The 13,656-nt window shown below is 39.0% G+C and overlaps 3 annotated features.

The window, feature by feature from the left end:
- Window positions 713-882: an enhancer, noted in NCBI's record as "experimental_56698 CRE fragment used in MPRA reporter constructs". NCBI's record gives its function as "activates a minimal promoter by MPRAs in K562 erythroleukemia cells, with activity observed for both the introgressed and non-introgressed 2:179947564 variant alleles {active_cell/tissue: K562}" and the evidence as "EXISTENCE:reporter gene assay evidence [ECO:0000049][PMID:34662402]".
- Window positions 11,830-11,999: an enhancer, noted in NCBI's record as "experimental_56700 CRE fragment used in MPRA reporter constructs". NCBI's record gives its function as "activates a minimal promoter by MPRAs in K562 erythroleukemia cells, with activity observed for both the introgressed and non-introgressed 2:179958681 variant alleles {active_cell/tissue: K562}" and the evidence as "EXISTENCE:reporter gene assay evidence [ECO:0000049][PMID:34662402]".
- Window positions 12,987-13,156: an enhancer, noted in NCBI's record as "experimental_56701 CRE fragment used in MPRA reporter constructs". NCBI's record gives its function as "activates a minimal promoter by MPRAs in K562 erythroleukemia cells, with activity observed for both the introgressed and non-introgressed 2:179959838 variant alleles {active_cell/tissue: K562}" and the evidence as "EXISTENCE:reporter gene assay evidence [ECO:0000049][PMID:34662402]".

The raw sequence follows: 13,656 nt of genomic DNA on the forward strand, positions 1-13,656 counted from the left end.
TTGGGTGGGGACACAGCCAATCCATACCATTCAGCCCCTGGCCCCTCCCAAATCTCATGTCCTCACATTTCAAAACACAATCATGCCTTCCCAACAGTTCTCCAAAGTGTTAACTCATTCCAGCATTAACCTAAAAGTTCAAGTCCAAAGTCTCATCTGAAACAAGGCAAGTCTGTTCCACCTATGAGCCTGTAGAATCAAAAGCTAGTTAGTTACTTCCTATCTACAATGGGGGTACAGGCATTTGGTAAATACAGCCATTCCAAATGGGAGAAATTGGCCAAAATCAAGGAGCTACAGGCCCCATGCAAGTCCAGAATCCAGCAGGACAGTCAAATCTTAAAGCTCCAAAATGATTTTCTTTGACTTCATGTCTCACATCCAGGTCATGCTGATGCAAGAGGTGGGTTCCCATGGTCTTGGGGAGCTCCACCCTTGCAGCTTGTCAGGGTACAGCTTCCCTCCCAGCTGCTTTCATGCCTGGCATTGAGTGTCTGCAGCTTTTCCATGTGCACTGTGCAAGCTGTGGTTGGATCTTCCATTCTGGGATCTGGAGGATGATGGCCCTCGCCCTCTTCTCACAGCTCCCCTAGGCAGTGTACCAATGGGGACTCTGTGTGGAGGCTCCAATCCCACATTTCCCTTTGGCACTGCACTAGCAGAGGTTCTCCATGAGGGCACTGCCCCTGCAGTACACCTTTGCCTGGACATCCAGGCATTTCTATACATCCTCTGAAATCTACGTGGAAGTTTTAAACCTTAATTCTTGTCTTCTTGTACCAGCAGGACCAACATCACGTGAAAGCTGCCAAGGCTTGGGGCTTGCAGCCTCTGAAGCCATGGCCCAAGCTGTACCTTGGTCCCTTTAGCCATGGCTGGAGGTGAAGCAGCTGGGACACAGAACACCATTTCCTGAGGCTGGACACAGTAGGGGGACCCTGGGCCCTGGCCACAAAACCATTTTTCCCTCCTAAGCCTTCAGACTTGTGATGGGAGGGGCTGCTGAGAAGGTCTCTGACATGACCTGGAAACATTTTCCCCATGCCTTGGTGATTAGCATTTGGCTCCTGGTTACATATGTAAATGTCTGCAGCAGGCTTGAATTTCTCCCCAGAACACGGATTTTTCTTTTCTACTGCATTGTCAGGCTGCAAATTTTCCTAACTTTATACTCTGTCACCTATTGAATGCTTTGCTGCTTAGAAATTTATTCCACTAAATACCCTAAATCGTCTCTCTCAAGTTTAAAGTTCCACCAATCTCTAGGGCAGGGGCAAAATGCCACCAGTCTCTTTGCATAGCAAGAGTGACCTTTGCTCCAGTTCCCAACAGGTTCCTAATCTCCATCCGTGACCACCTCAGCCTGGACTTTATTGTTCATATCACTATCAGCATTTTGGTCAAAGCCATTCAACAAGTCTCTAGGAAATTCCAAACTTTCCCACATTTTCCTATCTTCTTCTAGGCCCTCCAAACTTTCCAACCTCTGCCTATTACCCAGTTTCAAAGTCGCTTCCATATTTTCAGATATCTTTATAGCAGCACCCCACTGCCAGGTAAAAATTTACTGTATTAGTCCTTTCTCATGCTGCTAATAAAGACATACCGGAGACTGGGTAATGTATAAAGGAAACAGGTTTAATTGACTCACAGTTCAGCATGGCTGGGGAGGCCTCAGGAAACTCACAATCGTGGTGGAAAGGGAAGCAAACATCCTTCTTCACATGGCGGCAGCAAGGAGAAATTCTGAGCAAAAGGGGGCAAAGCCCCTTATAAAACCGTCAGATCTCATGAGAACTCATTCGCTATTATGAGAACAGCCTGAGGATAACTGCCCCCATGATTCAACTCCCTCCCACTGGGTCTCTTCCAGGACACTTGGGGATTATGGGAACTACAATTCAAAATGAAGTTTGGGTGGGGACACAGCTAAACCATATCACCATCCTTCTACTCTCTATCTCCATGGTTTCAATTGTTTTGATTTTTAGACCCCACAAATAAGTGACAACATGTGATGTTTGTCTGTCTGTGCCTTGCTTATTTCACTTAACTTAGTGACCTCCAGTTCTGTCTATGTTGTTGCAAATGACTGAATCTCATTCTTTTTTATGGCTGAATAGTATTCCATTATGTATAAGTACCACATTTTTCTTATCCATTCATCTGTTGATGGACACTTGTGTTGCTTCCAAATCTCGGCTATTGTGACAAAAGCTGCAACAAACATGAGTACATATATCTTTTTGATATACTGATTTCCTTTCTTATGGGTGTGTAACTAACAGTGTGATTGCTGAATCACATAGTAGCTCTACTTTTACTTTTTGGAGGAGCCTCCAAACTGTTTTCCATAGTGGTTGTACTAATTTACATTCCCACCAACAGTGTATGAGGATTCCCTTTTCTCCACATCTTTGCCAGTATTTGTTACTGCCTTTTTTTTTTTTTGGATATAAGCCATTTTATCTCAGATGAGATGATATCTCATAGTAATTTTGATTTGCATTTCTCTGGTGATCAGTGATGTTGAACACATTTTCATATGCCTGTTTGCCATTTGTAAGTCTTCTTTTGAGAAATGTCTATTCAAGTCTTTTCTCCATTTTTAATCAGATTTTTAGATATTTTCCTGTAGGGGTGATTTTCTTAAATATTCTAGTTTTTAATCCCTTGTCAGATGAGTAGTTTGCTAATATTTTCTCTCATTCTGTGGGTTGTATCTTTACTTTGTTGATTGTTTCTTTTGCTGTGCAGAAGCTTTCTAACTTGATGCAATTCCATTTGTCCATTTTTGCTTTGGTTGCCTATGTTTGTTGGATATTACTCAAGAAATCTTTGCCAAGACTGATGGCCTGGAGAGTTTCCCCAATGTTTTCTTGTGTTAGTTTCATAATTTGAGGTCTTAGGTTTAAGTCTTTAATCCACTTTGATTTGATTTTTGTGTATGACAAGAGATAGGGGACTAGTTTCCTTCTTCTGCATATGGATATCCAGTTTTCCCAGCACTATTTATTGAAGAATCTTTTTCCCAATGTATGTTCTTGGCAACTTTGTCGAAAATGAGTTCACTGTAGGTGTGTGGATTTATTTCTGGGTTCTGTATTCTGTTTCATTGGTCTATGTGCCTGTTTTCATGCCATTACTATGCTGTTTTGGTTTTTGGTTACAATAGCTCCGTAGTATAATTTGAAGTCAGGTAATGTGATTCCTCCAGTTTTGTCCTTTTGCTTAGGATAACTTTGGTTATTCTGGATCTTTTGTTGTTCCATATACATTTTAGCATAGTTTTTTTTCTATTTCTGTGAAGAATATCATTGGTATTTTGATAGGCATTTCATTAAATCTGTAGATTGCTCTGGGTAGTATGGACATTTTAACAATGTTTATGCTTCCAATTCATGAACATAGAATATCTTTGTATTTTATGGTGTCCCAGCCTGAATTTCTTTAATCAGTGTTTTGTAGGTTTCATTATAGAGATCTTTAACTTCTTTAGTTAATTCCTACATATTTAATTTTATTTGTGGTTATTGTAAATGGGACTACTTTTTAATTTGTCAGTTTCTTCAGTTTCAGTTTCTGTTAACATATAGAAATTCTATGTATGTTGATTTTGTATCCTGCAACTTTACTAAATTTTTTAAATCAGTTTTAATAGATTATTTTGTGGCTTCTTTAGGTTTTTCTAAATATATAATTTGCAAATTTGACTTCTTTGTTTCTAATTTGGATGGCCTTTATATCTTTCTCTTATCTGATAGCTCCAGCTAGGACTTTCAGTACTGTGTTGAATAACGGCGGTGAAAGGCATCCTTGTCATGTTTCAGATAATAGAGGAAAGCCTTTCAAATTTTTTCCCCTTCAATATGATACTATTTGTGGGTCTGCCATATATGGCTTTTATTATGTTGAGGTATGTTCCTTCTATATCCCATTTTCTGGCAGTTTTTATCATGAAAGGATGCTACATTTTATCACATGCTTTTTCAACATCAATTGAAATGATCATATGATTATACTCCTTCATTCTGTTGATATAATGTATCACATTGGTTGATTTGCATATGTTGAACCATTCTTGCAGAGTAGGAATAAATACCACTTGGTCTTGGTCTTTTTTTTTTTTTTTTTTTTCTTTGAGATGGAGTCTCGCTCTGTCACCCAGACTGGAGTGCAGTGGCATGATCTAGGCTCATTGCAAGTTCCGCCTTCTGGGTTCACACCATTCTCCTGCCTCAGCATCCCCAGTAGCTGGGACTACAGGCACCCGCCGCCACCCCCGGCTAATTTTTTGTATTTTTAGTAGAGATGGGGTTTCACCGTGTTAGCCGGGATGGTCTCGATCTCCTGACCTCGTGATCCGCCCACCTTGGCCTCCCAAAGTGCTGGGATTACAGGCGTGAGCCACCGTGCCCAGCCAATGAATAATCTTTTAAATGTACTGTTGAATTTGGTTTGTTAGTATCTTGTTGAAGTTTTTGTATCAATATTCATTAGAGATATTGGCCTGTAGTTTTCTCGTTTTTGATGTGTCTTTGTCTGCTTTTGGTGTCAGTGTAATACTGGCCTTGTAGAATGAGTTCCAAAGTATTCCCTCCTACTCTGTTTTTCAGAAAAGTTTGAGTAGAATTGATATTAGTTATTCTTTAAATATTTGGTAAAATTCAGTAGTGAAGTCATCAGGACCAGGGTTTTCTTTACTGGGAGACTTTTTATTACGGCTTCAATCTCATCACTTGTCAGAGGTCTGTTTAGGTTTTGAATTTCCTTATGGTTCAACCTTGGTAGTTTGTAAGTGTCTAAGAATTTGTCCATTTCTCATAGATTTTCCCATTTATTGGCATATAGTTGCTCCTAGTAGCCACTAATGACCCTTTGAATTTCTGCAGTATCAGTTGTAATGTCTCCTTTTTCATCTCTGATTTTATTTGGATCTTCTCTCTCTTTTTTTTTTTTTTTTTTTGTTAGTCTGGCTAGAGGTTTGTCAATTTTGCTTAACTTTTCAAAAAAACATCTTTATGTGTCATTCATCTTTTGTTATTTTCTTAATTTCAAATTCATTTATTCCTGCTCTGACCTTTATTATTTTTTACTTCTACTAATGTTGGGTTTGGTTTGCTCTTGCTTTTCTAGTTCTTTAAAATCCATTGTTAAATTTTTTATTTTAACTTTTTCTTATTTTTTTGATGTAAGCACTTATAGCTATAAAATTCCCTCTTAGAAGTGCTTTTGCTGTATCCCATAAGTTTTGGCATATTGTGTTTCATTATCGTTTGTTTCAAAAATTTTTTCAATTTCTTTCTTTTTTTATTGTAATATCTACTTTATTTTTTTATGTTTTTAAATTTTATTATTATTATGCTTTAAGTTTTAGGGTACATGTGCACGAAGTGCAGGTTTGTTACATATGTATACACGTGCCATGCTGCTATGCTGCACCCATTAACTCGTCATTTAGCATTAGGTATATCTCCTAATGCTATCCCTCCCCCCTCCCCCCACCCCACAACAGTCCCCAGAGTGTGATGTTCCCCTTCCTGTGTCCATGTGTTCTCCTTGTTCAATTCCCACCTATGAGTGAGAACATGCGGTGTTTGGTTTTTTGTCCTTGCGACAGTTTGCTGAGAATGATGGTTTTCAGCTTCATCCATGTCCCTACAAAGGACATGAACTCATCATTTTTGATGGCTGCATAGTATTCCATGGTGTATATGTGCCACATTTTCTTAATCCAGTCTATCATTGTTGGACATTTAGGTTGGTTCCAAGTCTTTGCTATTGTGAATAGTGCCACTATAAACATACGTGTGCATGTGTCTTTATAGCATCATGATTTATAATCCTTTGGGTATATACCCAGTAATGGGATGGCTGGGTCAAATGGTATTTCTAGTTCTAGATCCCTGAGGAATCGCCACACTGACTTCCACAATGGTTGAACTAGTTTACAGTCCCACCAACAGTGTAAAAGTGTTCCTATTTCTCCACATCCTCTCCAGCACCTGTTGTTTCCTGACTTTTTAATGATCACCATTCTAACTGGTGTGAGATGGTATCTCATTGTGGTTTTGATTTGCATTTCTCTGATGGCCAGCGATGGTGAGCATTTTTTCATGTGTTTTTTGGCTGCATAAATGTCTTCTTTTGAGAAGTGTCTGTTCATATCCTTCACCCACTTTTCGATGGGGTTGTTTGTTTTTTTCTTGTAAATTTGTTGGAGTTCATTGTAGATTCTGGATATTAGCCCTTTGTCAGATGAATAGGTCGTGAAAATTTTCTCCCATTATATGGGTTGCCTGTTTGCTCTGATGATAGTTTCTTTTGCTGTGCAGAAGCTCTTTACTTTAATTAGATCCCATTTGTCAATTTTGGCTTTTGTTGCCATTGCTTTTGGTGTTTTAGACATGAAGTCCTTGCGCATGCCTATGTCCTGAATGGTATTGCCTAGGTTTTCTTCTAGGGTTTTTATGGTTTTAGGTCTAACATTTAAGTCTTTAATCCATCTTGAATTAATTTTTGTATAAGGTGTAAGGAGGGGATCCAGTTTCAGCTTTCTACATATGTCTAGCCAGTTTTCCCAGCACCATTTATTAAATAGTGAATCCTTTCCCCATTGCTTGTTTTTGTCATGTTTGTCAAAGATCAGATAGTTGTAGATATGCGGCGTTATTTCTGAGGGCTCTGTTCTGTTCCATTGATCTATATCTCTGTTTTGGTACCAGTACCATGCTGTTTTGGTTACTGTAGCCTTGTAGTATAGTTTGAAGTCAGGTAGCGTGATGCCTCCAGCTTTGTTCTTTTGGCTTAGGATTGACTTGGTGATGCGGGCTCTTTTTTGGTTCCATATGAACTTTAAAGTAGTTTTTTCCAATTCTGTGAAGAAAGTCATTGGTAGCTTAATGGGGATGGCATTGAATCTATAAATTACCTTGGGCAGTATGGCCATTTTCACGATATTGATTCGCCCTACCCATGAGCATGGAATATTCTACCATTTGTTTGTATCCTCTTTTATTTCATTGAGCAGTGGTTTGTAGTTCTTCTTGAAGAGGTCCTTCGCATCCTTTGTAAGTTGGATTCCTAGGTATTTTATTCTCTTTGAAGCAATTGTGAATGGTAATTCACTCATGATTTGGTTCTCTGTTTCTCTGTTATTGGTGTATAAGAATGCTCGTGATTTTTGTACATTGATTTTGTATCCTGAGACTTTGCTGAAGTTGCTTATCAACTTAAGCAGATTTTGGGCTAAGACAATGGGGTTTTCTAGATATACAATCATGTCATCTGCAAACAGGGACAATTTGACTTCCTCTTTTCCTAATTGAATACCCTTTATTTCCTTCTCCTGCCTGATTGCCCTGGCCAGAACTTCCAACACTATGTTGAATAGGAGTGGTGAGTGAGGGCATCCCTGTCTTGTGCCAGTTTTCAAAGGGAATGCTTCCAGTTTTTGCCCATTCAGTATGATATTGGCTGTGGGTTTGTCATAGATAGCTCTTATTATTTTGAGATACGTTCCATCAATACCTAATTTATTGAGAGTTTTTAGCATGAAGAGTTGTTGAATTTTGTCAAAGGCCTTTTCTACATCTATTGAGATAATCATGTGGTTTTTGTTTTTGGTTCTGTTTATATGCTGGATTACGTTTATTGATTTGCGAATGTTGAACCAGCCTTGAATCCCAGGGATGAAGCCCACTTGATCATGGGGGATAAGCTTGTTGATGTGCTGCTGGATTCGGTTTGTCAGTATTTTATTGAGGATTTTTGCATCAATGTTCATCAAGGATATTGGTCTAAAATTCTCTTTTTTGGTTGTGTCTCTGCCAGCCTTTGGTATCAGGATGATGCTGGCCTCATAAAATGAGTTAAGGAGGATTCCCTCTTTTTCTATTGATCGGAATAGTTTCAGAAGGAATGGTACCAGCTCCTCTTTGTACCTCTGGTAGAATTTGGCTGTGAATCCATCTGGTCCTGGACTTTTTTTGGTTGGTAAGCTATTGATCATTGCCTCAATTTCAGAGCCTGTTATTGGCCTATTCAGAGATCCAACTTCTTCCTGGTTTAGTCTTGGGAGGATGTATGTGTCGAGGAATTTATCCATTTCTTCTAGACTTTCTAGTTTATTTGCGTAGAGGTGTTTATAGTATTCTCTGATGGTAGTTTGTATTTCTGTGGGATTGGTGGTGATATCCTCTTTATCGTTTCTTATTGTGTCTATTTGATTCTTCTCTCTTTTTTTCTTTATTAGTCTTGCTAGCAGTCTATCAATTTTGTTGATCTTTTCAAAAAACTAGCTCCTGGAATCTAAAAAACTAGATTCATTAATCTTTTGAAGGGTTTTTTGTGTTTCTATTTCCTTCAGTTCTGGTCTGATCTTAGTTATTTCTTGCCTTCGCCTAGCTTTTGAATGTGTTTGCTCTTGCTTTTCTAGCTCTTTTAATTTGATGTTAGGGTGTCAATTTTAGATCTTTCCTGCTTTCTTTTGTGGGCATTTAGTGCTATAAATTTCCCTCTACACACTGCTTTGAATGTGTCCCGGAGATTCTGGTATGTTGTGTCTTTGTTCTCATTGGTTTCAAAGAACATCTTTATTTCTACCTTCATTTCCTTGTTTACCCAGTAGTCACTCAGGAGCAGGTTGTTCAGTTTCCATGTAGTTGAGTGGTTTTGAGTGAGTTTCTTAATCCTGAGTTCTAGTTTGATTGCACTGTGGTCTGAGAGACAGTTTGTTATAATTTCTGTTCTTTTACATTTTCTGAGGAGTGCTTTACTTCCAACTATGTGGTCAATTTTGGAGTAGGTGTGGTGTGGTGCTGAAAAGAATGTATATTCTGTTGATTTGGGGTGGAGAGTTCTGTAGATGTCTATTAGGTCTGCTTGGTGCAGAGCTGAGTTCAATTCCTGGGTATCCTTGTTAACTTTCTGTCTTGTTGATCTGTCTAATGTTGACAGTGGGGTGTTAAAGTCTCCCATTATTATTGTGTGGGAGTCTAAGTCTCTTTGTAGGCCACTCAGGACTTGCTTTATGAATCTGGGTGCTCCTGTATTGGGTGCATATATATTTAGGATAGTTAGTTCTTCTTGTGGAATTGATCCCTTTACCATTATGTAATGGCCTTCTTTGTCTCTTTTGATCTTTGTTGGTTTAAAGTCTGTTTTATCAGAGACTAGGATTGCAACCCCTGCCTTTTTTTGTTTTCCATTTGCTTGGTAGATCTTCCTCCATCCCTTCATTTTGAGCTTATGTGTGTCTCTGCATGTGAGATGGGGTTCCTGAATACAGCACACTGATGGGTCTTGACTCTATCCAATTTGCCAGTCTGTGTCTTTTAATTGGAGCATTTAGCCCATTTACATTTAAAGTTAATATTGTTATGTGTGAATTTGATCCTGTCATTATGATGTTAGCTGGTTATTTTGCTTGATAGTTGATGCAGTTTCTTCCTAGCCTTGATGGTCTTTACAATTTGGCATGTTTTTGCAGTGGCTGGTACTGGTTGTTCCTTTCCATGTTTAGTGCTTCCTTCAGGAGCTCTTTTAGGGCAGGCCTGGTGGTGACAAAATCTCTCAGCATTTGCTTGTCTGTAAAGTATATTATTTCTCCTTCACTTAGGAAGCTTAGTTTGGCTTGACATGAAATTCTGGGTTGAAAATTCTTTTCTTTAAGAATGTTGAATATTTGTCCCCACTCTCTTCTGGCTGGTAGAGTTTCTGCAGAGAGATCAGCTGTTAGTCTGGATGGGCTTCCCTTTGTGGGTAACCCGGCCTTTCTCTCTGGCTGCCCTTAACATTTTTTCCTTCATTTCAACTTTGGTGAATCTGACAATTATATGTCTTGGAGTTGCTCTTCTTGAGGAGTATCTTTGTGACGTTCTCTGTATTTCCTGAATGTGAATCTTGGCCTGCCTTGCTAGATTGGGGAAGTTCTCCTGGATAATATCCTGCAGAGTGTTTTCCAACTTGGTTCCATTCTCCCCATCACTTTCAGGTACACCAATCAGACGTAGATTTGGTCTTTTCACATAGTCCCATATTTCTTGGAGGCTTTGTTCGTTTCTTTTTATTCTTTTTTCTCTAAACTTCCCTTCTCGCTTCATTTCATTCATTTCATCTTCCCTCACTGATACCCTTTCTTCCAGTAGATCGCATTGGCTACTGAGGCTTCTGCATTCATCACATAGCTTTTGTGCCTTGGTTTTCAGCTCCATCAGGTCTTTTAAGGACTTCTCTGCATTAATTATTCTAGTTATCCATTCGTCTAATTTTTTTTCAAAGCTTTTAACTTCTTTGCCATTGGTTCGAATTTCCTCCTGTAGCTCGGAGTAGTTTGATCGTCTGAAGCCTTCTTCTCTCAACTCGTCAAAGTCATTCTCCATGCAGCTTTGTTCCATTGCTGGTGAGGAGCTGCGTTCCTTTGGAGGAGGAGAGGCACTCTGATTTTTAGAGTTTCCAGTTTTTCTGCTCTTTTTTTTCCCCATCTTTGTGGTTTTATCTACCTTTGGTCTTTGATGATGGTGATGTACAGATGGGTTTTGGGTGTGGATGTCCTTTCTGCTTGTTAGTTTTCCTTCTAAAAGAGAGGACCCTCAGCTGCAGGTCTGTTGGAGTTTGCTAGAGGTCCACTCCAGACCCTGTTTGCCTGGAATATCAGCAGCAGTGTCTGCAGAACAGTGGATATTGATGAACCGCAGATGCTGCTGCCTGACCGTTCCTCTGGAAGTTTTGTCTCAGAGGATTACCCGGCCGGGTGAGGTGTCAGTCTGCCCCCCTACTGGGGGATGCCTCCCAGTCAGGCTACTTGGGGGTCAGGGACCCACTTGAGGAGACAGTCTGCCCATTCTCAGATCTCCAGCTGCGTGCTGGGAGAACCACTACTCTCTTCAAAGCTGTCAGAGAGGGATATTTAAGTCTGTAGAGGTTACTGCTGCTTTTGTTTGTCTGTGCCCTGCCCCCAGAGGTGGAGCCTACAGAGGCAGGCATGCCTCCTTGAGCTGTGGTGGGCTCCACCCAGTTGGAGTTTCCCTAGCTGCTTTGTTTACCTAATCAAACAGCTAACTCAGAAATGGTGGGCACCCCTCCCCCAGCCTCGCTGCCACCTGGCAGTTTGATCTGGGACTGCTGTGTTAGCGATGAGTGAGACTCCATGGGTGTAGGACCCTCTGAGCCATGTGCGGGATATAATATCCTGGTGTGCCATTTTTTAAGCCAGTTGGATAAATGCAGTATTAGGGTGGGAGTGAGCCGATTTTCCAGGTGCCATCTGTCACCAATTTCTTTGACTAGGAAAGGGAATTCCCTGACCCCTTGCACTTCCTGGGTGAGGTGATGCCTCGCCCTGCTTTGGCTCGCACATGGTGCGCTGCACCCACTGTCCTGCACCTACTGTCTGGCACTCCCCAGTGAGATGAACCTGGTACCGCAGTTGGAAATGCAGAAATCACCCGTCTTCTGCATCACTCTCGCTGGGAGCTGTAGACTGGAGCTGTTCATATTTGGCCATCTTGGCTCCTCCCCCCCAATTTCTTTCTTAATTTCTTCTTTGACCCAATGGTCATTCAGGAGCATATTGTTTAATCTGCATGTATTTGTATAGTTTCCAAAATCCCTCTTGTGATTGTTTTATAGTTTTATTCCATTGTGGTCAGAGAAGATGCTTGATATTATTTTAATTTTGAGGGGATATTTTAAGGCTTTTTAAGTGACCTAATATATGGTCTATGTTTGAGAATGATCCATATGCTGTGGAAAAGGATATGCACTCTATAGTCATTAGATGAAATGTTCTATTAATATCTATTAGATCCATTTGGTCTATAGTGCATTTTAAGTCTGATGTTTCTTTGTTGATTTTCTATTTGGAATATCTGTCCAATGCTGAAAGTGGGGTGTTGAAGTCTCCAGCTATTATTGTATTGGAGTCTCTTTCTTTAGCTCTAACAATATTTGCATTATATATCTGAGTGTTCCAGGGTTGGGTCCATGTATATTTTAAATTGTTATATCCTCTTGCTGAACTGACCCCTTTATCATTATATGGTGACCTTGTCTTTTCTTATAGTTTTTGTTTTGAAATCTATTTTGTCTGATATAATGATAGCTACTCCTGTTCTTTTTTGGTTTCCATTGGCATGGAATATCTTTTTCTATCCCTTTATCTGCAGTTTATGTATGTCTTTATAGTTGAAATGTGTTTCTTGTAGAAAACAGATCAATAGGTCATGTTTTGTGTTTCTTTGTATCCAAAACTCTGTCTTTTATTGGAGAGTTTAGTACATTTACATTCAATGTTATTGTTGATAAATAATGATATAATTCTACTGTTTTGTTTTCTGTTTGCTTTGTGGTCTTGTTTTCCTTCTTTCCTTCCTGTCTTCCTTTTAGTGAAGGTAATTTTCTCTGGTCATATGATTTAGTTTCTTGCTTCTTATTTTTTCTGTATACGTTGTATGATTTTTGGTTTGAGATTAGCTGATAAAAACACTGTTTGCATAAACAAACATGCAAGCAATCAAAAAGTAAACTAATATTGTATACCTTAATATTCCCCTTGCTTTTTAATTTTTTGTTGTTACTCTTTATGTCTTACTGTACTGTCTACATCATAAAAATTTGTTGTTGTTACTATTTTTCATTGGTTCATTATTTAGTCTTTCTACTTAATAACAGTTTACACACCATAGTTATCATGTTATAATATTCTTTGCTTTTCTTTGTACTTCCTATTACCACTGAGTTTTATACCTTCAGATTATTTCTTCTTGCTCCTTATTGTCCTTTTCTTTCTGACTATAAAACTCCCTTTAGCATTTCTTGTAGGACAGCTCTAGTGTTAATAAAAATCTCTCTCCTTTTTTTTTTTTGGTCTGGGAAAGTCTTTATTTCTCCTTCATGTTTGAAAGATAATTTCACCTGATGTACTATTCTAAGTTTAAAAATATTTTCCTTCAGCACTTTATATATGTCATGCCACTCTCTCCTGGGTTGTAAGGCTTCTACTGAAAAGTCTGATGCCAGATGTATAGGAGCGATTTGTTTCTTTTCTCTTGTGGCTTTTAGGATGCTTTCTTTAGCCTCGAGCTTTGGGAGTTCATTTATTAAATACCTTGAGGTAATCTTCTTTGGGTTAAATCTGTTTAGCATTCTATAACTTTCTTGTACTTGGATATTGACGTCTTTCTCTAGGTTTGTAAATTTCTCTCTAGTTATCCCATTGAATAGACATTCTACCTCTTCTTTAAGGCCAATAACTCTTAGATTTCCCCTTTTGAAGCTATTTTCTAAAATCTGTAGGTGTGTTTCATTGGTTTGTATTATTTTTTGTCTCCTCTGACTGTGTATTTTCAAATTGCCTGTGTTCAAGCTCACTCATTCTTTCTTCTGCTTGATCAGTTCTGCTGTTAAAAGACTATGATGCATTCTTCACTAAGCCAAATGCATTTGCCAGCTCCAAAATTTCTCCTTGATTCTTTTTAATTATTTCCATCTCTTTGTTCATTTATCTGATAGAATTCTGAATTCTCTGTGTTGTCTTTAATTTATGTGAGTTTCCTCAAAACAGCTATTTTGACTTCAATATCTAAAAGGTCACATATCTCTGTCTCTCCAGGATTGGCCCCTGGTGCATTATTTAGTTCATTTGGTGAGGTCATG

This window comes from Homo sapiens, chromosome 2 (assembly GCF_000001405.40).
Source record: "Homo sapiens chromosome 2, GRCh38.p14 Primary Assembly".
NCBI classification, from domain to species: Eukaryota; Metazoa; Chordata; class Mammalia; order Primates; family Hominidae; genus Homo; species Homo sapiens.